The sequence below is a fragment of the Homo sapiens genome, chromosome 19, assembly GCF_000001405.40.
Source record: "Homo sapiens chromosome 19, GRCh38.p14 Primary Assembly".
Lineage (NCBI taxonomy): Eukaryota > Metazoa > Chordata > Mammalia > Primates > Hominidae > Homo > Homo sapiens.
This window is the reverse complement of record NC_000019.10, coordinates 19304188-19332013: the sequence shown is the minus strand read 5'-3', so window position 1 is coordinate 19332013 and position 27826 is coordinate 19304188. Positions and strand designations below refer to the sequence as shown.

At 50.8% G+C, this 27826-nt stretch overlaps 2 protein-coding genes across 8 annotated transcripts in view, besides 5 other annotated features; one reads left to right on the top strand and one right to left on the bottom strand.

The window, feature by feature from the left end:
• MAU2 (MAU2 sister chromatid cohesion factor) overlaps nt 1–11185 on the bottom strand; it is a 37926-nt gene extending 26741 nt beyond the window's left edge. For 5 of the 6 annotated variants that reach the window (NM_015329.4, XM_005259837.4, XM_005259838.5 and 2 more), the window contains exon 1: nt 10879–11185. In NM_015329.4, the coding sequence (NP_056144.3) occupies nt 10879–11154 (276 nt within the window). In that variant the 5' untranslated portion in view covers nt 11155–11185. Of the gene's footprint in view, nt 1–10110; nt 10847–10878 lie in introns of those variants that run through there. The other variant, XM_011527844.3, reaches the window with a different exon arrangement.
• Nucleotides 10398–11369: an enhancer, noted in NCBI's record as "H3K27ac hESC enhancer chr19:19431454-19432425 (GRCh37/hg19 assembly coordinates)". NCBI's record gives its function as "activates a minimal SCP1, AML or CMV promoter by ChIP-STARR-seq in naive H9 embryonic stem cells {active_cell/tissue: H9 hESC(naive)}" and the evidence as "EXISTENCE:reporter gene assay evidence [ECO:0000049][PMID:30033119]".
• Nucleotides 10398–11567: a biological region, named in NCBI's record as "H3K27ac hESC enhancer GRCh37_chr19:19431454-19432425".
• Nucleotides 10805–11026: a silencer, noted in NCBI's record as "fragment chr19:19431797-19432018 (GRCh37/hg19 assembly coordinates)". NCBI's record gives its function as "represses an EF-1alpha promoter that drives an FKBP-Casp9 reporter gene in an ReSE screen in K562 erythroleukemia cells {active_cell/tissue: K562}" and the evidence as "EXISTENCE:reporter gene assay evidence [ECO:0000049][PMID:32094911]".
• Nucleotides 11078–11567: an enhancer, noted in NCBI's record as "active region_14345". NCBI's record gives its function as "activates an Ori minimal core promoter by ATAC-STARR-seq in GM12878 lymphoblastoid cells {active_cell/tissue: GM12878}" and the evidence as "EXISTENCE:reporter gene assay evidence [ECO:0000049][PMID:35858748]".
• Nucleotides 11505–27826, top strand: part of SUGP1 (SURP and G-patch domain containing 1) — a 44477-nt gene continuing 28155 nt past the window's right edge. The window contains exons 1-4 of one of the 2 annotated variants that reach the window (NM_172231.4): nt 11505–11551; nt 15421–15592; nt 21814–21917; nt 25938–26165. In NM_172231.4, coding sequence (NP_757386.2) covers nt 11518–11551; nt 15421–15592; nt 21814–21917; nt 25938–26165 — 538 coding nt within the window. In that variant the 5' untranslated portion in view covers nt 11505–11517. Of the gene's footprint in view, nt 11552–15420; nt 15593–21813; nt 21918–25937; nt 26166–27826 lie in introns of those variants that run through there. The other variant, XM_047439142.1, reaches the window with a different exon arrangement.
• Nucleotides 11588–11637: an enhancer, noted in NCBI's record as "active region_14344". NCBI's record gives its function as "activates an Ori minimal core promoter by ATAC-STARR-seq in GM12878 lymphoblastoid cells {active_cell/tissue: GM12878}" and the evidence as "EXISTENCE:reporter gene assay evidence [ECO:0000049][PMID:35858748]".

The following is a 27826-nucleotide window of genomic DNA, read 5'->3' as shown; positions in this document are numbered from 1 at the left end:
AAGTGCAAATGGCCACAGAACGGAGGCGTATGCCTTTCAGACACAAAGCCCTAAATGGCATGGGATTTCTCCCTGTCTTTAAATGCCACTGCTTCTTCACTGGGACATCAGTGACACCTGGATCTCTCTGCATGAGGACACACATTCCTGAAGGGCAGTATGGGCCTGGTGTCAGGGTGAGCCAGTCAATTCCCCAGGGCCATCAATCTGACACCTACTAAATGACTTCACTTTTGTATCTTTGTTAGAGTTTTGTTTTTCTTTTTTTTTTGTAGAGACAGGGAAGGTCTTGCTATGCTGCACAGGCTGGTCTTGAACTCCTGGGCTCAGGTGATCGTCCCATTTCAGCCTTCCAAAGTACTGGGATTGCAGTTGTGAGCCACCTCACCCAGCCCTCTGTATGACTTGTAGCATATATTTGGAAATCAGAAAAATATATCCATCTCACAAATAAAGGATGTAGAATGCCTTACCCAAGGTTGCTACCTCATCTACGTGATTTTTTTTTTTTTGAGACGGAGTTGCACTCTGTCGCCCAGGCTGGAGTGCAGTGGCGCGATCTCAGCTCACTGCAAGCTCCACCTCCCAGGTTCACGCCATTCTCCTGCCTCAGCCTCCTGAGTAGCTGGGACTACAGGCGCCCGCCACCACGCCTGGCTAATTTTTCTTTGTATTTTCAGTAGAAATCGGGTTTCACCATGTTAGCCAGGACGGTCTCGGTCTCCTGACCTTGTTATCTGCCTGCCTCGGCCTCCCAAAGTGCTGGGATTACAGGTGTGAGCCACCGTGCCCGGGTGTTTTTTTTTTTTAACTTTGTAATGCTAAAAAGTAGCTTTTATGTTTCCTTCCTTATGATAGCAAAGCAGCCAAAGTGAGAGGCTGCAGGGAGCAGGGCAAGGAGGTGACTGTCTCCATCAGCAGCCCCTGGGGTCACCTTAGGGTTCTCAGGGAAAGCAAGAGAGGGTTGCAACAGGGCCAACAGGTTTCAAGTGGGGTGGAAGGGTCCAGACCAGCACAGCTCTGGTGCCTGGAGGATTCAGTCCAGGGCTGAGTGTTTCAAGGCTTCTTATTCCTTAAAACCAAAGTAACTTTTAAAAAAAAGGCTTTTTTTGATTGTAGTTTTTAGACATGGTATCCCTCTGCCACCCAGGGGGAGTGCAGTGGTCCTCACTGTAACCTCAAACTCCTGGGCTCAAGAGATCCTCCTGGCTCGGTCTCCCAAGTAGCTGGGACTACAGGTGCATCTCACCAGGTCCTACTAATTTTGTTTTTTGAGATGAATTTTCGCTCTTGCTGCCCAGGCTGGAGTGCAATGGTGTGATCTTGGCTCATGGCACCCTCCGGCTCCCGGGTTCAAGCGATTCTCCTGCCTCAGCCTCCCGAGTAGCTGGGATTACAGGCATGCGCCATCACGCCTGGCTAATTTTGTATTTTCAGTAGAGACGGGGTTTCTCTATGTTGGTCAGGCAGGTCTCGAACTCCTGACCTCAGGTGATGCACCCGCCTTGGCCTCCCAAAGTGCTGGGATTACAGGCGTGAGCCATGGCGCCTGGCAGGCCCAACTAATTGTTTTACTTTTTTGTAGAGATGGGGGTCTCGCTATCTTGCCCAGGCTGGTCTCAAACTCCTGGGCTCAGGAGATACTACCACCTCAGCCTCCCAAAGTGCCGGGATTACAGGCGTGAGCCACCATGCCTGGCCTGTTGTTGTTTTGTTTTTATAAGAGACAGGGTTGGCTGGGAGCAATGGCTCACGCCTGTAATCCTGGCACTTTGGGAGGCCAAGACAGGTGGACTGCTTGAGCTCAGGAGTTTGAGACCAACCTGGGCAACATGGCAAAACCCCATCTCTACAAAATATACAAAAATTAGCTGGGCATGGTGGTGTGTGCCTGTCACATCAGCTACTCTGGAAGCTGAGGCAAAAGAACCACATGAGCCCAGGAGGCAGAAGTGGCAGGGAGCTAAGATTGCGCCACTGCACTCCAGCCTGGGTGACAGAGTGAGACTTTATCTCAAAAAAATAAAAAATAAATAAATAAATAAATAAATAAATAATTAAAAAGACAGGGTTTTTGTCACCCAGGCCGGAATGCAGTGGTGCAATCATGGCTCACTGTAACCTTGAATTCTCAGGCTCAAGCACTCCTCCTACTTCAGCCTCCCAAGTAGCTGGGACTATAGGCATGTGTGGCTAATTTTTCAATTTTTTTTTTTTTTTAAGAGACAGGGTCTGGCTATGTTGCCCAGGCTGGTCTCAAACTCCTCCCGCCTTAGCCTCCCAAAGTGCTAGGATAACAGGCATGAGCCACCATGCCTGGCTCAAAATCATTTTTTTTTTAAACTACCCTATTGCTTGCAACACCTCTGGGATGGAAGCACAGCATTTAGCAGCTTCCCTGGCCTCTTGCTGCTGTGTGACTGTGGCTAAGCACATTCTCCTGCAGTGGCTGGGTGTCATCACAGGTGAGTCTGAGGTGGGCCTTACCCTGTTAATTTGTTGAGGATCCAGGGAGACCTTGCTCTGTGAAGCACCAATGCAGGGCCTGGCATGTAGTAGGTGCCAATGATGCTATAGTAACTGGCAATCAGGAAGTAGAAGAACCGGGGTGGGAGAGGAAGGGACCAGCTGGTAGAACCGTGAGGTGATGGTTCCTAAACAGATTTCACATCCTGAAGTCAGAGGTGACTCAAGAGTGAGAGGGAAGGAAATAGAAACAAAAACAGGAGGAAGCACAGATCACTTCATGAAACTGCGTAACGGCCAGCTCTGCACAAGTCTCTGCTCCCTGCAGATGGGACACGGAATTTAGCAGGACACAGTTGTGATCCTGAAGAATGAAAGAACTGCTTACGCTGGGCCTGATGAGGAGAGGCTCAGAACCTAGCCCTGTTGGGTCTTAAGAGAAAAGGAAGCATTTAATCACTTGCTGAGAAAGTGAACCATAGATGCTCAGGCTAAACCTGGATGCAGAATTAAGTATCTGACCAGCACAGTCTGGAGCTGCTTTCTAAGTCAGATGAGCAAAACCACCATTAAAAAGCAGCCCTGTTCCAACCACAGAGAAAGCACGCATGGCATTGACACAGAGAAAGCAAGCATGGCATACGCAGTCAGAAAACACCACTGTTCAAAGAATGACTGCCTGGATTATAGAAAATAGTAAGTTCTTCCAGAGAGGCGGCATTTAGTCCTGGGTGGCTTTCAAACCAGGAAAACCTAAGAATGATGGTGCACTTCCCAGGCCAAGGGATAAAAGGGACTGTGATCAGAAGTAAGAAAGTTAAAGGGGTGGCTGGGCGCGGTGGCTCACGCCTGTAATCCCAGCACTTTGGGAGGCTGAGGCGGGCGGATTACGAGGTCAGGAGATCGAAACCATCCTGGCTAACATGGTGAAACCCCGTCTCTACTAAAATTACAAAAAATTAGCCGGGCATGGTGGTGGGCGCCTGCAGTCCCAGCTACTTGGGAGGCTGAGGCAGGAGAATGGCATGAACCCGGGAGACGGAGCTTGCAGGGAGCCGAGATCACGCCACTGCACTCCAACCTGGGCAACAGAGTGAGACTCTGTCTCAAAAAAAAAAAAAAAAGTTAAGGGGGAAACGGATATGCAGGTACATTCTCTTGATTCAACAGCAGATGTCCAAATGACCAAGATGGATCTGTCTGCTTAAAAGACAGGTGGGAAAATAAGAAAAAAGCCATAGGGCCTGGAAGAGAGGAGAAGAATGAAAACTTACAGGGATGGGTGTACAGCAAGAAGAGAGAGAACAAGAGGAAAGCAAAATATAGAAGAACACAACCTGTCAGAATCTGCAGAAATGGCATTGCAAAATTTTTTTTTTTTTTTTTTTGAGACAGGGTCTCTCTCTGTCACCCAGATTGGACTGCAGTGGCAGGAACACGGCTCACTGATGCCTCGACCTCCTGGGCTCAAGTGATCCTCACGCCTCAGCTTCCCAAGTAGCTAGGACTACAGATGTGAGCCACCACGGGCCCGCTAATTTTCAAATTTTTTGTAGAGACAGGGTAGTGCCCAGGTTGGTCACTGCGAATTCTCTAGCCAAGAAATGTCTAAGTAAAGTGACAATGCTTATAGTCATCAACTATTTACTTAGGGGAGTCCCAGAGCAGCCAAAACACACCCACATCACTGCCAAAACCATACTCAGAGAAGGAAGGCTTTCAGGTAAAGTGTCCTGCCATGCACTGTAACAGCTCCAGAATCTGCTGAGCAGACCCAGGGAACAAGGCGGCCGGCAGGTGTTCTGAGGCCCTACAGAGGCAAGAGTCACCGAGACACCAACTACTGTGACCCCAAAAAAGCTGCTGAGGAGTTCGAGACCAGTGTGGCCAACATAGTGAAACCCCATCTCTAATAAAAGTAGAGGCCGGGCGCAGTGGCTCACGCCTGTAATCCCAGCACTTTGGCAGGTCGAGGCGGGTGGATCATGAGGTCAGGAGATCAAGACCATCCTGGCTAACACGGTGAAACCCCGTCTCTACTAAAAATATAAAAAATTAGCCGGGCGTGGTGGCAGGCGCCTGTAGTTCCAGCTACTCAGGAGGCTGAGGCAGGAGAATGGCATGAACCCAGGAGGCGGAGCTTGCAGTGAGCCGAGATCGCGCCATTGCACTCCAGCCTGGGCGACAGAGCGAGACTCTGTCTCAAAATAAATAAATAAATAAATAAATAAATAAATAAATAAATACAAGTAGAAAAAATTAGCCTGGCATGGTGGCAGGCACCTGTAATCCCAGCTGCTTGGGAGGCTGAGGCAGGAGAATAGTCTGAACCTGAGAGGCAGAGGTTTTAATGAGCTGAGATTGCGCCACTGCACTCCAGCCTGGGCAACAGAGTGAGAGTCCATCTAAAAAAAAAAAAAAAAAAAGCTCCTGGGGAGGCTGTGTGTGGTGGCTCACACCTGTAATCCCAGCACTTTGAGAGGCCAAGGCAGGTGATTGCTTGAGGCCCGGAGTTTAAGACCAGCCTGGGCAACACAGTTAGACCCTAGCTCTATAGAAAATATAAAAATAAATACAATCAAATTTTTAAAAAGTTGCTGAGGAAAGGAAGACATACCCTCTTTGACTCTGATGGGGATTCTTTTTTTAAAGTTTTGAGACAGGGTCTCGGTCTGTTGTCCAGGGTGGAGTGCAGTGGCACGATCACAGCTCACTGTAGCCTCAACTTCCTGGCTCAAGAATTGTCTTGCCTTAGCCTCCTGAGTAGCTGGGACCAGAGTCATGTGCCACCATGCCTGGTTAATTTTTGTGTATATATATATATATGTATATATATATATATATACATATATATATTTTTTTTTGAGACAGTCTCGCTCTTTCGCCCAGTCTGGAGTGCAGTGGCGCGATCTCAGCTCACTGCAAGCTCCGCCGCCCGGGTTCACGCCATTCTCCTGCCTCAGCCTCCCGAGTAGCTGGGACTACAGGCGCCCGCCACCACGCCTGGCTAATTTTTGTATTTTTTAGTAGAGACAGGGTTTCACCTTGTTAGCCAGGATGGTCTCGATCTCCTGACCTCGTGATCCGCCCACCTTGGCCTCCCAAAGTGCTGGGATTACAGGCGTGAGCCACCGCGCCCGGCTATATTTTTTTTTCTGGTAGAGACAGGGTTTTGCTATGTTGCCAAGGCCGGTCTTGAACTCCTGGGCTTAAGCAATCTGCCCACTTTGGCCTCACAAAGTCTTGGGATTGCAGGTGTGAGCCACCACACCTGGCCTGATGGGGACATTTAATGGATGATTCTTTCAAAGTTAGTTGACTTGATGAAGTAGACGAGTAAGTATGTTATATATCTTTCTAGACGACTTAAAATGCAGTTGAGGGCCAGGCATGGTGACACACACCTATAATCCCAGCTACTCAGGAGGCTGAGGTGGGAGGATCGCTTGAACCCGGAGGGCGGAGGTTACAATGATTTGAGATTGCGCCATTGCACTCCAGCCTGGGCAACAAAGTGAGACTCTGTCTCAAAAAAAAAAAAAAAAAAATGCAGTTGAGGAGACCATTAGAAACTGACAGAAGCAGATAAAAGAGAAATAACCTTAAATAAAAATGTGATGACCAAGGAGGCTGGGGTCTCTTAGAGAGAAAGCAAAAGACAGTGAAAACAATAGGAAAGCTGGATGTAGCACTGAGTTCAGGGGCCAATAATAGGTTTTACCTAAGCACTTATGTTAGAGAAAATTAGTTCAGTGAAGAAGAGCAGAGAGATGCCGGGTGTGGTGGCATGCCTGTAATCCCGGCATTTTGGGAGGCTGAGGCGGGCAGATCACCTGAGGTCAGGAGTTCGAGACCAGCTTGACTAACATGATGAAACCTTGTTTCTACTAAAAATACAAAATTAGCTGGGCATGGTGGCACATGCCTGTAATCCTAGCTACTCAGGAGGTTGTGGTAGGAGAATCGTTTGAACCCGGGAGGTGGAGTATGCAGTGAGCTGAAATCGCACCACTGCACTCCAGCCTGGGTAATAGGAGTGAAACTCCTTCTCAAAAAAATGAAAAATAAAATAGGCTGGGTGTGGTGGCTCACACCTGTAATCCCAGCACTTTGGGAGGCCAAGGCGGGTGGATCACCTGACGTCAGGAGTTCAAGGCCAGCCTGACCAACGTGGTGAAACCCCTTCTTTACTAAAAATACAAAAATTAGCTGGGCGTGGTGGTGGGCGCCTGTAATCCCAGCTGCTTGGGAGGCTGAGGCAGGAGACTCGCTTGAACCCGGGAGGCAGAGGTTGCAGTGAGCCAAGATTGCGCCATTGCACTCCAGAGCCTGGGTGACAGAGCAAGACTACATCTCAAAAAATAAATAAATAAAATAAAAGTAACAATAAAAATAAAAAGAACAGCAGAGAGAATGAGCAAGGAGAAATGTCACAAACTATTGCAAAATACTGTTACACTGGGTTGGCTCTCCAAGAAGACACTGGAATCTCTTCAGCCATTTGCTTTTCAGAAGTAGAAACCAGCAAACCACCTCTAAGCGGAGAACATACGATTCTTTATTAAGTAGCTCTGGGGAAGGAAAGAATAAAAGTTGATAGCTCCCTGATTGGGAAAAAATGCACAATTAATAAAGAATGAAGATGAAAGAAAGCATGCTTATGTTGTAACACAAAAAAAATTCACAAACGTTGGTGGAAGGAAAACAGTATAGAAAACATTACTTTAACTAAAAGCTGGAAAAATTTTCAGTTGGGATGCGACTGACAAAAAGAACGGGATTTCCAGGCATAAAGTTGGCGTGAGCTACAGAGGGCACCATGTGGCTCAGTGGAAGACCCTTCAAGATTCAAAGTTCCATTTGACAGAGCAAAGGCACTTCGCAAGGAGAAGGGTTTAAATTATGGGTCCAAAAGCCAAGTGGTAAAGCGAGCAATTTGCAGCATGACTGCTTCTCCTAGACAGGGCTGAGTGGGCAAAATACGACAGTACACACAGTGACTATTAGCCACTGCCAGAAACAGGCTGAACAGCCCTGGGAGACAAGGGAAGGCAGGTGGTGGGAGTTGTTCATGGAGAGAAAGGAGAGTTTTAGAACCAGCACATCCACTGGAGATGCTGGGCCACCAGACCCCTCCCAGTCAATAAAGTCTGGTGCCTCATTTGATCTCAGCCTCATCATGACCCTGGAGAGACCCTGATACCATCTGCCAGTCCCCGACAGCTTAGGCACTCCTTGCCATCAACCTGACCCCCCGAGTGGTTCTCCAGGCTCCCTGCCCCACCCATTCAGGCCTCTGCTCAAATGTCACTCCCACAAATAGAGACTCTCTCACTACCTCTGCCAAAAATAGCTCCAAGTCAACTCCATCTCTTCTCCCTGGTTCAGTTCTCAAGGTTCTTCCATCACTGCCTAACCTCTTACTATATGCTTATCATTTGTCTTCCTCATGAAAACCTAGGCTTACGTGGGCAGAAACTGTTTTAGCCATTGCTGATCCCCCGGCACCAAAAATAGGGCTTGGCATCCTGCATGAGCTGAACAAGTATCTGTTGAATGAATCAAAGGAAAAAAAACTTCACCAAAACAATAATGATGTATCATCTTGGCATGTAACCTGGTTATCACTGAGCTGGAGTTTGAGCCTAGTTTTGTCAATAACTTGTTGTGCAGCCTTGGGCAAATCACTTTACCTCTCTGGGCCCATAATGCCTCCCTTTTGAAACAAGGCAGTTGATCAAGTGAGGACTAAAGTTGCCTTCCACGCTGGGCACAATGGCTCAAGCCTGTAGTTCCAGCACTTTGGGAGGCTGAGGCAGGTGGATGGCTTGAGCTCAGGAGTTCAAGCCCTTGTCTTTACAAAAAACACAAAAATTAGCTGGGTGTGGTGGTGCGTACCTGTGGTCCCAACTACTCAGGAGGCTGAGATGGGAGGACTGCTTGAGCCCAGGAGGTCAAGGCTGCAGTGAGCTGAGATCACGCCAGTGCACCCCAGCCGGGGTGATGGAGCGAGACCCTGTCTCAAAATAAATAAATAAATAAATAAATAAAACTGGCCAGATGTGGTGACTCACACCTATAATCCTAGCACTTTGGGAGGACAAGATGGGCGGATCACTTGAGGTCAGGAGTTCGAAACCAGCCTGACCAAATGGTGAAACTCTGTCTCTACTAAAAATACAAAAATTAGCCAGATGATGTGGTGCAAGCCTGTAATCCCAGCTACTCGGGAGGCTGAGGCAAGAGAATTGCTTGAACCCACGAGACGGAAGTTGCAGTGAGCCAAGACCGCGCCACTGCACTCCAGCCTGGTGACAAAGCGAGAATCTGTCTCAAAAAAAAAAGAAAAAAAATTATCTGGGGCTGGGCGCAGTGGCTCATGCCTGTAATCTCAGCACTTTGGGAGGCCGAGGGGAGTGGATCACAAGGTCAGGAGTTCAAGACCAGCCTGGCCAATACTGTGAACCCGTCTCTACTAAAAATACAAAAATTAGCTGGGTGTGGTGGCGCACACCTGTAGTCCCAGCTACTCGGGAGGCTGAGGCAGGAGAATCACTTGAACCCGGGAGACGGAGGTTGCAGTGGGCTGAGATCCTGCCATTGCGCTACAGCCCCGGCAACAAGAGCGAAACTCCGTCTCAAAATAAACAAATAAATAAAATAAAATAAAATAAAGTCTCCTTCCAACTTTTCAGTCTGTGAAACAAAGATTTGATCTATTCCTCAAGGCAAGTTGTTACTAGCTGAGGGTGGGCTTGGATTTACCTCAGATTAATGAGTTTTTAAAATCTGAGTTGATTCTTTTCAATAATTTTCTATTCAAGCAGGACAGAGCTGGGTAAAAGGTAAAAGGGAGGCAGGGGTCTGACAGGATCACAGCGCTGCTGTGAGAAAAAAACGACTCCACAGCCTGAAATTTTATTATTTTTTCCTTATTATCTTTTTTTTCTGAGACAGGGTTTCACTGTCACCAAGGCTGGAGTGAAGTGGCGTGATCACTGCTCACTGCAGCCACGACCTCCCGGGGCTTAGCTGATCCTCCCACCTCAGCCTCTGGAGTAGATGGGACTACAGGCCCGCGTCAGTACGCCCAGCTAGTTTTTGTATTTTTTGTAGAGACGGGATCTCACTGTGTTGCCCAGGCTGGTCTCAAACTCCTGGGGTCTAGTAATCTGTCTGCCTCCGCCTCCCAAAATACTGGGATTACAGACATAAGCCACTGAGCCTGGCCCTAGAAAGTTTATTAAAGGGGCCGGGCGCGGTGGCTCAAGCCTGTAATCCCAGCACTGTGGGAGGCCGAGGTGGGCAGATCATGAGGTCAGGAGATGGAGACCACCCTGGCTAACACGGTGAAACCCCATCTCTACTAAAAAATACAAAAAATTAGGCAGGCGTGGTGGCGGGCGCCTGTAGTCTCAGCTACTCAGGAGGCTGAGGCAGGAGAATGGCCTGAACCCGGGAGGCGGAACTTGCAGTGAGCCAAGATGGCACCACTGCACTCCAGCCTGGGTGACAGAGCAAGACTCCGTCTCAAAAAAAAAAAAAAAAAGAAAGTTTACTAAAGGGCAGAATGACAGCCACTCTCCCGCATTCTTTGAGGCACCAAGATGACACAAATCAAGTTGGGTCAGGGGAGGGACTCACTCTGACGGAAGAGGATGGACTGATGGATGGTAGAAGTCACCAGTGGATGGAGAAAAAGCAGGAGCTGCTTTTAGTTCCCCTAATACTGAAACTGAACAGCGGGGCCTGGAATCCAGAACCCCTGTTTCTCCTCCTCATAGGCCTCAAATGACCAACTCCAGACTCCGGGTCTCAGCTTCCCTCGTACGACACCAGGCATTATTGATGGGGGCACAAGACCCTCCAAAAACCACGATTACCAAACTTCTGTGTCCAAGGAGAATCATGCCCTTCCAGGTTCCTGAGAGACCAGACTTCAGATTCCCGGGAGAATGCCAGGGGTCTCGCCTTCGCCAACCCCTACCCCAAGTCACTTTAGGTGGAAGCGTTTGGGGCTGATGCTCCGGAAGCTGAACCAGGAGGAGCTAATAGCTTCAGGACCCTGTGATGTCCCCATCGCCACCAACAGGTGGGATCCTCCTGAAAACCAGACGATTTGCGGATCCTGTTGCTCCCAATAACAGGCAACTTTCAGAGTACGGTGACGGGGCTCCTGGAGCCCTGTCACCAGAAACGGGAAATAAGGCGTGGGGGGCGAGGCTTTCGTGTCCCTTGAGAGGCTGGTGGCTTTGGGGTCCGGCAGAGGCGGGTGGGGGTCCTGCGGCTTTGACGGAGGTCGCGCCCCCAGGTCGCCGAGGAGCGGCCCCCCACCCGCCGCGGTCGCGACCCGTCAGCCCAGATCTTGCAAGGAGCCCGCGACTCCTCCCTCGCGGCCCGGCCCGCGCTCACCGCCTTCTCCAGGTGGCTGCGCGCCTGCTCGCTGTTCTTGGTGTGGTGATAGAGAACGGAGCCCAGCTGCAGGTGTGTACGGGCCTCGATGCGCTGCGGCGGCTTGAAGGGGAACACGGCCTGCAGGCAGTGCACGCACAGGCGGATTTTGGGCGGGCTGGAAGTGCGGAAGTGCTCAGCGAAGCCCAGAAGCGCCAGGTACCACGAGTCGGCCGCCTCGGCCTGCGCAGCCTGGGCCGCCGCCGCCTGGGCCGCTGCCGCCGCCTGAGCCGCCATTTTGGCCTCCACAACAACAAGCCGCCGCCACAGGGAGGCGGAAGCAGGCGCGCGAGACGGGGCCGGGCTCTCCTCGCGGCTTCCGCGAGATCTGCCGCCCAAAGCATCCTGGAACATGTAGTTTGTATTTGGGATGACTGCCGCTCCGGGAAGGTGTAAAAGGGCGACGCCGTTTGGTTATCGTGACTGGGACTTAGGCATCGCTGATAGGCTGAGGCTTCCGTTTCTGGAGGTTAAAAAAAAAAAAACCCAGTCGTTCACGCAGTAATAGGGCGAGTCTGACCGAGGCGGACTACATCTCCCATCAGGCGATGCACACTATAACAGGGCCCCTTAAGGGGCGCCGGAGCATTGTGGGATTGGATGAGTCTCAAGATGGACAACCGGGATGTTGCAGGTAACAGCCCCCGCCTCCTCTCAGGCGGCCGCCTGGGTCCCTGGGGCTAGGTGTCTCCCCTGACTCCTCGGGTCCGTCCTGCTGCGACCCGTGGATCCCTCGCTTCAGCCCCGGGGCAGCCCACAGCGTCGGCTTCTGCACCTCTTGGTTTCTCGAGACCCCAGACCCAGGTTGCTGGCCGCCCCCGCTTGGTTTGCTGAGGACGCACGGATCTCCGTAGAGGCCGCCACCCGGCTCGGCCCTGCGTCCCGTTTCCGAAACAACCGCCTTCAGGGCTGCTCCAACCTCCGTTCCCCAATACGGCGACAACCTTGGGCTGTCCCTGCACCCCTCTTTTCGTCGCAGCTGGCCTCTGGCCTGTGTCCCGCTTTCTGGAAAAGCTGCTTTTCCGAAGTGCTTTGAGGCTCCCTTGACACACTTTCCCGCGTCTTTTGACCCTCACTTTGCTGCAAGCCTTGGCCTTTCTGCTTCCCCAGAATAGAATGCATTTACCCATCAGCAGATACTTAGGGCGTGCTCACTGTGTGCCAAGCAGTGTGCTGGGCGCTACGCATGCAGCGGTGACCGAAACAGGGCCCTGCCTTCCTGGAGGTTGCTTTCTACTGGGGTGTCAGTGCATTAATGAGAAAATATTTACAAAAACTTACGTATGATGTGAGGTTACGTATGATATGATCAGAGTGGAGGCTTCTGATATTGGGTAGTCAGGAAAGACCTTTTCTTTCTTTCTTTCTTTTTTTTTTTTTTTTTTTTTTTGAGACAGGGTCTCACTTTGTCGCCCAGGCTGTAGTGCAGTGGCTCACTGTGGCTCCCTGGGTTCAGGTGATCCTCCCACCTCAGCCTCCCTAGTAGCTGAGACCACAGATGCGCGCCACCACACAGCGAATTTGTGTGTTTTTTGTGTTGCCACGTTTCCCATGCAGGTCTGGAATTCCTAGGCTCAAGCGATCCTCCCATCTCAGCCTCTTAAAGTGCTGGGGTTACGTAAAGGTGTGAGCCACCACACCTGGCCCAGGGAAAGGCCTTTTCAAGCAGAGGACATTTGAGTTAAGACAATGAATGCCAGCTATGGGAATCCCTGGAGGGTGGAGCCTTCCACACAGAGGGGGGCCAGTAAATGCAGAGGCCCTGGTAGGATGGGCTTGTCCTTTTGAAGAATGTCAAGGATGAAGCAGAAGGGAGGGGAACCATCTGGCGGGGCCTTGAAAATGGCCTTTTAGAATTCTTTTTTTCTTTTTGTTGAAGCGGAGTTTCGCTCTGTCGCCCAGGCTGGAGTGCAGTGGCACGATGTCGGCTGACTGCAACCTCTACCTCCCGGGTTCAAGCCATTCTTCTGCCTCAGCCTCCTGAGTAGCTGGGATTACAGGCGCCGGCCACCGCACCTGGCCAGTGTTTTTGTGTATTTTTAGTAGAGACGGGGTATCACCATGTTGGCCAGGCTGGTCTCGATCTCCTGACCTCAAGTGATCTGCCTGCTTCAGCCTCCCAGGTGCTGGGATTACAGGTGTGAGTCACCATGCCCGGCTCAGACTTTTAAAATTTGGATTTTATTCTGAGTCCCATGGGGAACCTCTGAGGTGTCTTCCCTGTCTCCATACTATCACCCTAGTCTGAAGACATCATTGTCTGTTGCTTGGAGCCAGTGAGCCTCCCTGGTCTTGTTGCCTGTGGATTCTCTGGCCAGAATGATTACCTAGTAGCCAGGATGAAAATAAAACGACCCTGTGGATATTGGCTAGGTGTGGTGATCCATGCCTAAAATCTCAGCATTTTGGGAGGCTTAAATGGGAGGCTCCCTTGAGGACAGGAGTTCAAGATTAGCCTGGGGAACATAGCAAGAACCTGTCTCTACAAAAAATAAAAGAAAATAGCTAGGCCTGGTAGAGTGTGCCTGTAGTCCTAGCCACTCGGGTGGCTGAGGTGGGAGAATCTCTAGAGCCCAGGAGTTTGAGGATGCAGTGAGCTACGATCATGCAACTGCACTCCTGCCTGGGCAACTCAGCGAGACCCTGTCTCAAAAAAACAAAACAAAACAAAAAAAACGGCTGGGTGTGGTGGCTCACGCCTGTAATCCCAGCACTTTGGGAGGCTGAGGTGGGTGGATCACTTGAGGTCAGGAATTCGAGACCAGCCTGGCCAACATGGTGAAGCCCCATCTCTACTAAAAATATGAAAAAATTAGCCAGGCATGGCGGCAGATGCCTGTAGTCCCAGATACTCGGGAGGCTGAGGCAGGAGAATCGCTGGAACTCTGGAGGTGGAGATTGCAGTGAGCCAAGATCGCGCCATTGCACTCCAGCCTGGGGGAAAAGAGCAATACTTCATCTCAAAAAAAAAAAAAAAAAAAAAGAAGGCTGGGTTCGGTGGCTCACGCCTGTAATTCCAGCGCTTTGAGAGGCGTAAATTGGAGGTTCCCTTGAGGACGGGAGTTCGAGACCAGCCTGGACAACATGGCGAAATCCTAACTGTACTAAAAATATAAAAATTAGCCAGGTGTGGTGGCTCACGCCTGTAATCCCAGCTACTCAGGAGGCTGAGGCAGGAGAATCGCTTGAACCTGGGAGGTGGAGGTTGCAATGAGCCGAGGTGGTGCCACTGCATTCCATCTTGGCTGACAGAGTAACAGTTCGCCTCAAAAAAAAAAAAAAAAAAAAGCCACTGGGGCACGGTGCCTCATGCCTGTAAATCCCAGCACTTTGGGAGGCCAAGGTGGAAAGAATGTTTGAGACCAGCCTGGGCACTATAGCAAGACCTCATCTCTATGAAAAAATTTAAAAATTAGCCAAGTGAGGTGGTGCATGCCTGTAATCCAAGCTATTTGGGAGGCTGAGGTGGGAGGATTGCTTGAGCCGGGGAGGCGGAGGCTGCAGTGAGCTGAGATCACACCACTGCACTCCAGCCTGAGAAACAGAGCCAGACCCTGTCTCAAAAAAAGACCCAATGGATCTTGCATTCTTCATCTTAGTGCTTCTCCATCACTCCCCAAAGCCCTTATAATAAAGCACAGATGCTCTGACATGCCTCACCTCTGCCTGTCCCTGGAGCAGGCCCCTCTGACACTGGGCACTTGCTGCTCCTTGGATGTACCAGGCTTCTTCCTGCCTTGAGCTTTCACATCTGCTCCTTCTTCTGCCCAGATCATCTCCCATTTGGCTTTTCATGACGCTGGCTTCTTATTTGTTTTTTCTGGTTTAAATGTCTCCTCTTCTAGTGTTTATTTTCTGCCTGTCCTACCTGCATATGTACTCTCCTGTTACTTTTTCACCCTTTTTTGGTTTTCAGCAGAGCTCTTACCACATTGTGCACTTACTTTTTTTTTTTTTTTTGAGACAGAGTCTTGCTCTGTTGCCAGGCTGGAGTGCAGTGGCACCATCTCGGCTCACTGCAACCTTCACCTCCCTGGTTCAAGCAATTTTCCTGCCTCGGCCTCCCTAGTAGCTGGGATTACAGGCACATGCCACCATACCCAGCTAATTTTTGTATTTTTAGTAGAGACAGGGTTTCACCACGTTGGCCAGGCTGGTCTCGATCTCCTGACCTCAAGTGATCCGCCTGCCCCTGCCTCCCAAAGTGCTGGGATTGCAGGCATGAGCCTCTGCACCAGCCCGAAAGTTACTTTTTTATTATGGGTCTATTGTCTTCCCAGCCTGAAGCGAGTCCCACGTGGGCAGAGACCTGTGTTCTCTTGCATAGCACGTAGTAAGTACAGGGTATGGTATGCAGCAGGCACTCTGTAAGTGTTTGCTGAATAAATGAACTAATAGACATATAAATTAATCTGAACATCAGTTGCTCTCTGGCCTGTCACAGCTTCTTGGGGTGTTTGTGGAGTAAGGGTGATTTCCGACGTACTCCTTTTCCCTCCCCAGGAAAGGCTAACCGGTGGTTTGGGGTTGCTCCCCCTAAATCTGGAAAAATGAACATGAACATCCTTCACCAGGAAGAGCTCATCGCTCAGAAGAAACGGGAAATTGAAGCCAAAATGGAACAGAAAGCCAAGCAGAATCAGGTGGCCAGCCCTCAGCCCCCACATCCTGGCGAGTAAGTGCCTGCTGGGGCCTGGATGGGGCCTGGATGTGAGTCTTTGAGGGTCACCAGCACAGGGTTTGGCTTGTGAGGGCAGTCAGCATGTGCTTGCACCCAGCCATAGCCTGATGATCCAAGGAATGACCCAGATGCCCTTGGGAGGCTCACTGTGGCAAGAGAGAAATGAGGGGTATGTGGAAGCCCAGAGGACAGCCTGCCAACTCATCCACTCAGCAGTTATTTACTGCCAGCCAGCTGTGGTGCAGAGGGAAGGGGTATAACAGAGTAAAAATCTCTGCCTTGAGTTCAGGTGTGCTGCCTCACACCTGTAATCTCAGCCCTTTGGGAGGCTGAGACAGAGGATCACTAGAGGCCAGGAGTTTGAGACCAGCTTTGCCAACATAGTGAAACCCCATCTCTACTAAAAAATACAAAAAATTAGCTGGGCATTGTGGCACGTGCCTGTAGTCCCAGCTGCTCAGGAGGCTGAGGCACGAGAATCTCTGGGATCTGGCAGGCAAAGGTTGCAGTGAGTTGAGATCGTGCCACTGTACACTACCCTGGGCCATAGAGTGAGACTCTGTCTCAAAAAAAAAACAAAAAAAAACCTCTGCCCTTATGGGGTGACAAACTACTGGCAAAGGGATGCAGGTGCCGCCCCAGAGCTCCTGGAAGATAACAAAGGCAGTGTGTTCCCAGGCCCCGTGGCCACAGTAAGGCCACAGAGCTTTGCATCCTGAAAGCCCAGGTGGAGCTGGCCCACTGAGGAAGCAGAGAAAGGCCTGCCCAGCAGAGGGCAGGAAGGGGAGAGAGCCCATATGTGGAGGGCCAGCCTGAGCTGCTGTACCAAAGGGGCTGTCCCTTAGTGGATGGCAGGTGGATGATAGCTCAGCAAGGGTTTCCACTTGCCTGTCCTGAGAAACACTGAGGGCACCAAGGGTTTTGATCAAGGGGTGATGTTGTGATGAGGGTGACCAGATCCAAGCTTTTCAGGCTGGAGATTGATAATCTGAGAGGCAGGCCCCTTCCTCTGGGGTCTGGAGTGTAGAGTGTGTTAACCTTCCCCAAGGCCTTGTTCCAGCTCCAGCTTTTCCTTTTTTTTTTTCTTTGAGACAGGGTTTTGCTCTGTCACCCAGGCCGGAGTGCAGTGGTGGGATCATGGCTCACCGAAGCCTTGAGCTCTTGGGCTTTAGCAGTTCTCTTGCCTCAGCCTCCCAAGTAGCTGGGACCACAGGCACGTGCCACCATGCCTGGCTAATTTTTTTCTATTTTTGTAGAGATGAGGTCTTGTTATGTTGCCCAGGTTGGTCCCGAACTCCTAGACTCAAGTGATCCTCCCACCTTGGCCTCCCAAAGGGATTACAGGTGTGAGCCACTGCACCCAGCAGCGTTTGCCTTTTCTTCTTTCTTTTTCTTTTTTTGTTGCCTAGGCTAGAGTGCAGTGGCACGATCTCAGCTCACCACAACCTCTGCCTCCAAGTTTCAAGCGATTCTCCTGCCTCAGCCTCCCAAGTAGCTGGGATTACAGGCATGCGCTGCCACGCCCAGCCAATTTTGTATTTTTAGTAGAGGCGGGGTTTCTCCTTGTTGGTCAGGCTGGTCTCAAACTCCTGACCTCAGGTGATCCGCCCCTCTCAGTCTCCCAGAGTGTTGGGATTACAGGCGTGAGCCACTGCACCCGGCCAAGAACCAGCATTTTTATCTCCCAGTATTTGTTACCAGTGGTTTTCAGGTGGGAGCCGTTCGCTGTACTCTGCAGCCTGAATGTGATTTCTTGTCTTTCCTTGTCCCTACCTCTTCCTGGTCCCTCCTGAGTGAAGTGCTCAGGGTGTGAGTATGGGGGCAGGCCCAGGAACTGAGGGGTGCCCAGAATGTCCTGGTTGTTTAGTGTCAACATTGAACCTTCTTTTTCATATAAAATTACTTCTACTCCTTCTTTTTTTAAACTTTAAAGGTAATTCATGTACATGGTAGGAAATCCAGGAAGTAGAAGAGGGGTAAACAAAAAACCAAAGTCACTCATAACTCTGCAACACAGAGACAAGCACTGGTTGAGTGTTGAGGTGTTTTTCTGTTTTTTTTAATTTTATTTAATTAATTAATTTATTTATTTTTGAGACGAGTCTTGCTCTGTCACACAGGCTGGAGTGTAGTGGTGCCATCTCGGCTCACTACAACCTCCGCCTGTTGGATTCAGGAGATTCTCCTGCTCAGCCTCTCGAGTAGCTGGGATTACCAGTGTGCGCCACGATGCCCGGCTATTTATTTATTTATTTATTTATTTATTTATTTTATTTTTTGAGACAGAGTCTCACTCAGCCGCCCAGGCTGGAGTGCAGTGGTGTGATCTTGGCTCACTGCGACCTCCGCCTCTTGGGCTCAAGTGATTCTCCTGCTCAGCCTCCCGAGTAGCTGGGATTACAGGAACCCACCATCGTGCCCGGCTAATTTTTGTATTTTAGTAGAGATGGGGTTTCATCATGTTGGCCAGGCTGGTCTTTAACTCCTGGCCTCAGGTTGTTCCTCCCACCTCGGCCTCCCTAAGTGCTAGGATTACAGGCATAAGTCTCTGAGCCCGGCCATTTTTTTGTATTTTAGTTGAGACAGGGTTTCACTATGTTGACCAGGCTAGTCTTGAACTCCTGGCCACAGGTGACCTACCCGCCTCTGCCTCCCAAAGTGCTGGGATTACAGCCTTGAGCCACCGTGCCGGGCCTGTTTTATTTCAGAGGCAGGATCTCACTCTGTCACCCAGGCTGCAGTACAGTGGCACTATCATAGCTCACTGCAGTCTGGAATTCCTGGACTCAAGCTATCTTCCCACCTCAGCCTCTTGAGTAGCTGGGACTACAGATGTCCACTGCCATGCCTAGCTAATTTTTAAATTTTGTGTAGATGGGGTCTCACTATGTTGCCCAGGTTGGTTTTGAACTTCTGGGTTCAAGTGATCCTCCTACCTTGGCCTCCCAAAGCATTAGGTTTACAGGTGTGAGCCACTGCTCCTGGCCCGATGTGTTTGTCTAACAATTTTTTTTTATATTTGAGATGAAGTCTAACTCTGTTGTCCAGGCTGGAGTGCAATGGCGCGATCTTGGCCCACTGCAACATTCGCTTCCTGGGTTCAAGTGATTCTTCTGTCTCAGCCTCCCCAGTGACTGGGATTACAGGTGCCCGCTACCACGCCCGGCTAATTTTTTGTATTTTTAGTAGAGACGGGGTTTCATCATGTTGGCCAGGCTGGTCTTGAACTCCTGACCTCAGGTGATCCGCCTGCTTTGGCCTACCGAAGTGCTGGGATTACAGGTGTGAGGTCCCGCACCCGGCCTTTGTAACAATTTTTAATTCAAATGTATTTTGATGTAAGTAGAACCACACTGTAGATACTGTTTTATAGCCTGTCCTTTTGTTTTTTTTTATTTATTTATTTTATTTATTTATTTTTTTTTTGAGATGGAGTCTTGCGCTGTTGCCCAGGCTGGAGTGCAGTGGCACGATCTCGGCTCACTGCAGGCTCTGCCTCCTGGGTTCACACCATTCTCCTGCCTCAGCCTCCTGAGTAGCTGGGACTGCAGGTGCCCCCCACCATGCCCGGCTAATTTTTTTTTTAATTTTTAGTAGAGACGGGGTTTCACTGTTTTAGCCAGGATGGTCTCGATCTCCTGACCACGTGATCCACCCGCCTTGGCCTCCCAAAGTGCTGGGATTACAGGCGTGAGCCACCGCGCCTGGCCTTGTTTTTCCTTTAACATTGTATTTGATTGCTTGTCTAAAATTTCAACTTTTCAGGGCTGCCCCATCTTCCCTGTGGATGGCCCGTAATTTATTTAACCAGTGCCCCTTGTTGATGTATTTAGGTTATTTTAGTTCTGATGAACTAAAAATTATTCCTTTCTCCTATTTAAAGGAAAAAGGCTAGCCCTGTGGACTCCATGAGCTTTTTGCACCATTGGGTACATCCATATGGTGGAACGTCATGCGGGTTTAAAAAGCAGCGTATGTGAGGAATTTGAGATTGGAGCAGGATGGTGTGCTACAGTAGGAAATGGAAGAAGTAGAGTGTGTGCTGTGATCACAGCCTTATTTCCTCTGACTTCTAATTTAGAGAGCAAAATAAAGATATATACCAGTGTTAATAGTGGCTGTTGCAAAGTAGGGAGACATTGTTGGGTTTTTCCATTCCTTTCTGTTTCAGTTTTTCTTTTTATTTTTTTTTAAATGATCTTACTCTGTCACCCAGGCTAGAGTGCAGTGGCATGATTGCGGCCCACTTCCGCCTTGACCTCCTGGGCTCCGGTGATCCTCTGGAATGCTGGAATTATAGGCACACGCCACCACACCCAGCTAATTTTTTGTTTTGTTCGTAGAGATGGGGTTTTCTCCATATTGCCTAGGCTTATTTCAGTTTTTCTACATTTCCATTTGTTCCATAATGAGCCTCTGTTACTTTTTTTTGTTTTAAGAAACATGATCTCACTCTGTTGCCCAGGCAGACGTGCAGTGGCATGATCATATGTCACTGCAGCCTCAAACTCCTGGGCTCAAGTGATTCTCCTACCTCAGTCTCCCAAGTAGCTGGGATTACAGGGATGAGCCACCATGCTTAGCCAAAGCCTGTGTTTCTTTACCCATGTGGGCCTGCAGCTCAGAGCTGGGATCTGCAAGCATTTCTTTGGGCATCATACATTTCTTTTTTTTTTTTTTTTTTTTTTTGAGACAGAGTCTCGCTCTGTCGCCCAGGCTGGAGTGCAGTGGCGCAATCTTGGCTCACTGCAAGCTCTGCCTCCTTGGTTCACGCCATTCTTCTGCCTCAGCCTCCCGGGTAGCTGGGACTACAGGCGCCTGCTACCACATCTGGCTAATTCTTTGTATTTTTAGTAGAGATGGGGTTTCACTGTGTTAGCCAGGATGGTCTCTATCTCCTGACCTCGTGATCCGCCCACCTCGGCCTCCCAAAGTGCTGGGATTACAGGCGTGAGCCACCGCGCCCAGCCTGGGCATCAAACATTTCTAAGAAAACAGCCAAAGCAATCTTGCTGGAAGAATCACAGGGCATTTTATATTTTATCTTCACTCTCTCCCTCTTTTTTTTTTTTGCAAAGTATATGTTTTACTTTTTAAAAAATATGTTTTTAACAAGTTAGCACAAAGGCAAACCCAGGGGCCTAAATATATTTAAATCAAAGTTGAGCACAGCTGATATACTGTTGTCAGAGCTGCCCTTCATGCCTGTCAAAAAAATGGCATTGGCCAGGAACAGTGTCACATGCCTTTAGTCCTAGTGACTTGGGAGGCTGAGGTGGGACCATTGCTTGAGGCCAGGAGTTCAAGACCAGCCTAGGCAACATAGTGAGATGTTACCTCTACCAAAAAAAAAAAAAAAAATTAAAAAATTAGCCAGGCAGAGTGGCACATGCCTGCAGTCCCTGTTATCGCACCATTGCACTCTGCACTTTAGCCAGGGCAGCAGAGCAAGACCCTGTCTCTTAAATAAATAGGTCAGGTGTGGTGGCTCACACCTGTAATCCCAACACCTTGGGAGGATGAGGTGGGAGGATGGCTTGAGGTTAGAAGTTCGAGAACAGCCCAGCCAACATAGCGAAACCCCATCTCTACAAAAATACAAAAATTAGCCAGGTGTGGTGGCACATGCTTGTAATCCCAGCTGCTCAGGAGGCTGAGACATGACAATCTCTTGAGCCTGGGTGGAGGAGGTTGCAGTGAGCCAAGATTGCCCCACTGCACTCCAGCCTGGGCGACAGAGTAAAACTCTGTTTCGGATAGATAGATAGAGAGGGAGAGAGACAGAGAGAGAGAGACATGTAGGCCCTGCCTTGGAAAACTCTAAGGTCTAGCAGGAGGACAGACATGAGTCAGTAACAACCCAGATAATCAACTAGCAAGGGAGGACAGGTGCTGTGCAGAGAGAGCAGGAGCCATCTTGTTGGAGGGCCATTTGGACCTGGAGGGTTAATATTCAGGCAGAGATAATACATGGAGTATTGCTTTTATCAGAACAAGATTGTTCCCAGCTTACCGTACTGAAGCCTGCTGTGCGCACTTCGCAGTAGTCTCTTGAAATCTCTGGGGGCCAGTTTGGGGTCCCAGTAGGTGAGAGTGCTGGGGTGAGTTAGGGGCCATGATGGACGAGGTGATGGCCTCATCCTCATCCTCGTCCTCTGGTGCCCTCACTCCATCTCTAGCCAGCTCACCCTCTCTGTCCTCTGTCTTGGTTCTAGAATCACAAATGCACACAACTCTTCCTGCATTTCCAACAAGTTTGCCAACGATGGTAGCTTCTTGCAGCAGTTTCTGAAGTTGCAGAAGGCACAGACCAGCACAGGTGAGTGTAGGCCTCCCCTTTCCTTGTGCTGTCCTTGCATCTCCCCCTGGGGTTGCTGGGCACATGGGAAGTGATGGGTCCCACCTCAGACTCCTGCTCACCGGTAATCATAGATCGCCCTCATTCCACCCATGCGTGCACCAAAGGCATAAATAAATAAATAATACATAAATAATTTTTTTTTTGAGACGGAGTCTCGCTCTGTGGCCCAGGCTGGAGTGCGGTGGCGCGATCTCGGCTCACTGCAAGCTCCGCCTCCCGGGTTCACCCCATTCTCCTGCCTCAGCCTCCTGAGTACCTGGGACTACAGACGCCCGCCACCACGCCCGGCTAATTTTTTAAATATTTTTAGTAGAGATGGGGTTTCATCATGTTATCCAGGATGGTCTCGATCTCCTGACCTTGTGATCCGCCCACCTCAGCCTCCCAAAGTGCTGGGATTACAGGCGTGAGCCACTGTGCCCGGCCTTTTGTATCTTTTTAGTAGGGACTGGGTTTCATTGTGTTACCAGGATGATCTTGATCTCCTGACCTCGTGATCTGCCCGCCTTGGCCATCCAAAGTGCTGGGGTAATAGGCGTGAGCCACTCCGCCCGGCCAGTAATTTTTGTTTTTTTGAGAGGGCCTCACTCTTGCTCAGGCTAGAATGCAGTAGTGCAATCATAGCACACTGCAGCCTCAACCTCCGGGGCTCAAGCAAACCTTCCACCTCAGCCTCCCTGTAGCTGGGGCTACAGGGGCATGCCACCACACCTGGCTAATTTTTTTATTTTTTGTAGAGTTGTGATTTCGCCATGTTGGTCACGCTGGTCTTGGACTCCTAAGCTCAAGCAATCCACCTGTCTCAGCCTTCCAAAGTGTTGACATTACAGGCAGGAGCCACTGTACCCAGCCCAAGTAATAAATATGTAAATTAATACCAAGGGGGCAGGCTGGGCGCAGTGGCTCACGCCTGTAATCCCAGCACTTTGGGAGGCCGAGACAGGCGGATCACCTGAGGTCAGGAGTTCGAGATCAGCCTGACCAACATGGTGAAACCCTGTCTCTACTAAAAATACAAAAATTAGCCGGGCGTGGTGGCAGGCGCCTGTAATCCCAGCTACTCGGGAGGCTGAGGCAGGGGAATCGGTTGAACCCAGGAGGTGGAGGTTGAGGTGAGCCAAGATCATGCCATTGCACTCCAGCCTGGGGGACAAGAGCGAGACTTCGTCTCAAAAAAAAAAAAAATTACCAAGGGGGCAAATGTAGACCCTGCACTCAATGTGCTTACCCTGTAGGAGCAGAGACAGATAAGTCAGATTTCAGTCTGGGGCAGGTGGAGCCATGATGAAGCCTTCCCCACACTTGTGAGACCACTTTGGGAGATGGGAGGCATCCCCAAGCTGGGTCAGCTTGAACCCACCAGCAGGGGTGAGCAGGTCTTCTGCATACAGGGTTTTCAGAGACACCGGGCTGGCCCGAGACACCTGAGCTGCATCAGAGAACAATAGGTTCTGGGGCCTGCTGCGGCTGAGGTGCCGGGTGGGCACGCAGCTGGGGGCACCCAACAATGACCACCAGGGCACTAGTGTTCATCGGGTACCACCCCGTGTGCCAGGGAATGTGGACTCAGTGCCTGCCATGTCCCTTGCTCCGTGCAAGCAGACCACGTCTGTGCTCTCACTGAATCCTCTGGAGGGACACCTCTCTCTACCTCTGTTTCCCTTTGGTAGACGTCTGATAACACACGTCGTATTCTCTTCACTCAGAATTCATAGATGTCGGCTGGGTGCGGTGGCTTATGCCTGTAATCTCAGCACTTTGGGAGGCCGAAGGGGACAGGATCGCTTGAGCTCGGGAATTCAAGACCAGCCTGGGCAACATGGCTAAGTCTCCTCTCTACAAAAAAAATACAAATAATTAGCCAGGCATGGTGATGCATAACTTTAACCCCAACTAATGGGGGGGCTGAGATGGGTGGATCACTTTTGGGCCTGGGAGGCGGAGGTAGCAGTGAGTGGAGATCACGTCACTGTACTCTAGCCTAGGAGACAGAGCAAGACTCCATCTCAAAAAAAGAAAACAAAAAAGAATTCATAGATGTAACATTTTGCCTTTGATACTTCTGATCTTTGTTAATCATGAAAAATACTCACTGGGCACAGTGGCTCACGCCTGTAATTCCAGCACTTTGGGAGGCCGAGGCGGGTGGACCTCCTCAAGTCAGGAGTTCGAGACCAGCCTGGCCAATGTGGTAAAACCCCGTCTCTACTAAAAATACAAAAATTAGCTGGGCATGGTGGCACACCCCTATAATCCCAGCTACTTGGGAGGCTGAGGTGGGAGGATTGCACGAACCTGGGAGGCAACCAGCTCTGCTCACGTGAGCTGAGCTCACGCCACTGCACTCCAGCCTGGGCAACAGAGCGAGACTAAGTCTCAAAAAGAAAAAAAAAAAAGAAAAATACCAGAGGTTGAAGTCCTCCCATCCCCCTTTCTTACAGGAAGTAACTGTCGAGAAATTGTGTGTCTGACAACCCCTGTTGTCCTCTCAGTCAAGCAGTGTGTGCCGTAGTTTCAGATGTTTGACCCTTTATGCAGATGACGACATAGTGTGCGTTTTGTTCCAAGCTTTTTTCTCTTACTCGACGTTATTTTTTTTAGGTCTAGATGGTCCAACTAAATCTCATTGAGTTCTGTAAGCAGCTGGTTACCTCCATTTCCACACTTTCCATTTAGGAAGCTAAGGCTTAAAAAGATGAAGCCCCTGCCAGGCATGGTGGCTCATGTCTGTAATCCCTTTGAGAGGCTGAGCTGGGAGGATCGCTTGAATCTAAGAGTGTGAGACCAGCCTGGACAGCCTAGCAAGAACCCATCTCTGCAAAAAATAAAAATAAAATTAGCCAGACATGGTGTCGTGCACCTGTAGTCCCAGCTACTCTGGAGGCTGAGCTGGGAGGATTGCTTGAGCCCAGGAGTTCAGGAGGTAGAGGCTGCAGTGAACCATGATTGCACCACTGCACTTCAGCCTGGGTGATAGAGCAAGACCCTGTCACTAAAAAAAAAAAGATGAGGTCCCCAAGTGCAGAGCCAGCATCTTTCATGATCCGGGGGCCCTAGTCCTGCTCTCAGGGTGGTGAGCTGGCCAATTTCATGATGCTGCTCCCCACCAGACTCAGGGCTCTTCCTGAAGCTGTCACACACCAGCCTTGCCCCATCCCCTGCCTTGCTGTGGGTGCTTCTGCACTGTAGGTCCTCTGGACACCAAAGTGTGGGCTAGAATGGCTGGTCTCCAGGTCCTCACCTGGCCCCCTTGTCAGTGCCCCAGGGGATTCCCGGCCTTCTCCAGTGGGCAGCAATGCCTGTGCAAGGAATGGGACCCCTGTCTGTAGGTTGGTCGCCTACAGGTGTGCAGTGTGATATGCCAGGTGGGTAAATCGTCACCCGTGGAGCTTCTGCCCATGTCTCTGATTTTGGGGTTTACCGACCAGAGCCCATTGTTGCTGGTGAGACAGCTGGTCTTCGACCTCTGTCAGGTTTCCCAGGGAACAGCTAAGAAAAGTTAACCCAAGGCCAAATTCATCCTAGAATGAGGAAGGCTGGTTTGAGTCCCTTCCCCATCAGGTGTCAGGCTGAGAACACCCAGTAGGCTGGCCCCTGGCCAGTCAGCCTGGCCACAGACCTCCAAGGGAATGGTTGTAAACTGGGATTCGGGGACTCGGGTCTTACCCGGCAGAACTGACGTTCTGTCCCCAGAACTGTCCCCAGTCTGTGGGTGCAGCGCGACCGAGATGCCTCCAGCCACAGCGGCCCACTTCAGAGCCCCAGGCTGCTGCTTTTCTGGCTGGGGGACCACAACGAGTCCTTTTGCTCTTTGCCTCACTGTCCCCATCTGTAAAATCAGGGTGGCCTCCTCTGAGCCCCTGAGTTCTGGAAGTCAAGGACCCAGCTCCCCCGGGGCCCACAGCACCTAGGTTAGGTCGGAAGCCGGGAGAGGTGCCCTGCAGATCCCGAGTGCGCATATCCTTCCTTCTATACCAGACGCCCCGACCAGTGCGCCCAGCGCCCCTCCCAGCACACCCACCCCCAGCGCTGGGAAGAGGTCCCTGCTCATCAGCAGGCGGACAGGCCTGGGGCTGGCCAGCCTGCCGGGCCCTGTGAAGAGCTACTCCCACGCCAAGCAGCTGCCCGTGGCGCACCGCCCGAGTGTCTTCCAGTCCCCTGACGAGGACGAGGAGGAGGACTATGAGCAGTGGCTGGAGATCAAAGGTAAGTTGTGGGAGCTGCTGCTCCCCCACCACCAGTGCCCGTGCTCTAGCAGGTGGGATCTGTGGTGGGCAGGGCAAGTGCTGCCAGGGGCATGGGTGCTTTCGGCTGAGTTGCAGCCACCAGACCTCTGAGCTGAGCCTCAGGCCCTCTGAGGTGAGGAGAGCAAAGGAGGGTGAGGGGCGGGGCTGGGGTGTTGCTGGGCATCAGCGCGTGGGCTTCATCTTGGGAGCAGCGGGATCCATCTTCCACTCACACAGCGGCTCATCCCAGCCAAGGCAGGGGCGCACGCCCTTCTCGCATTTGCTCCAAAAGGGCATCCTCACATCCCTTCTAGGAGGAGCTTCTAAGGCTCTTCCGCTGAGCCCTTGAGGCCCCAAAGCACTGCCCCTCACCATGGGTTACCTGTCCCCTGAGTTTAGGCCAGAGGTATGAGCTGCAGGTTGGAGGGTGCTCTCTTCTATCCCTGGGAAAGGACGGTCACTGGTCACGGGTGAGCTTGTCCAGACCGCCCAGTGTAGGAGGGCAAAGGGGGGTGGCTGTGGTGACAGCATTGCCAGCAAGTCCAGCCCTGTCCACATTCAGGACGAGTCCCTGTGACACCTGAACTGTGTGAAGGGCTAGCCGGTGAGGTCACATCACCCTGACAGCACAGACTGAAGCGACTGTGGAGTTGTGCCATGACAGCCTTGAGATCCCTTGCTTCTGGCTGTGTGTCCGAGCGGATCAGAGGCCAGCTTGGCCCCCGGGCCATTAGAATGGAGCTGGCGTGTGTCCTTTCCTTAAAGGGGTGCCCCAGCAGCTCCAAGGGTACCCTGTTGGGAACTGCTGCATTACAAGGGGTATTGGCCATCTCGGGGCCCTTGAAGCCCATTATGACCCACTGTCTGCATGGCCTCAGAAACGCACCTGTTCCTGTAAACAGCAACCAGGTCAGGATTGTTGCTGGGCCCATGGCAGGAGGGCGACCTAGGGTGAAAGACAGTCACGGAATGCTCTCGGGACCTCACAGGGGCCCTCGTTGGGCTACACACTCCCCACCTCTCCCCCATTCCCAGCAGCCCAAGCAACAAGGGGAATAAGATTAGCCACAGGTCTGGCATGTTGCCCAGTTGCCAGGCACTTGCTGGCAGCGAGAAATTTCTCTTGTGCATCTCCTACAAGGACTGCAGTCTGTGTAGTAGCTGACAAACTCACAGCCTCAGAAACAGGCCAAGGGAAAAATGCAAAAGCAAGTTCCACATGGCTCAGTGGGGAGGCTAATCCGTATATAAAAATATATCTTTATAGCTCTGTTCACTGAAAAGGCCCCGAAATAATGATTAAGCCTGTGGCATTGAGCATCCCTAGCTCCCAGATGCTGGTCTGGAGATGCAGTTTCTCATGGAAACCGACTTCTTGGAGAAGTGGCTGGCTCTGGGTCTGGGCAGGAAGTGTATGAGATGATCTTGGAGCGCCTGTCCTGGCAGATGGCAAGGAGGCCATCAGAGACTCCTGGGGCCATGTCCAGAGCCCTCAGGAGCCAGCTTGAAGAGGTTCCACCGGCCGCAGAGCTTCTATGATGACACTAGTTGCCATGGATCGAAACCCACCCAGTGTGTTTAAATCAGAGCTCATAATGGTATTTTTTAAAAAAGAACGTGTCATCTTTGAAGGATGAAAGG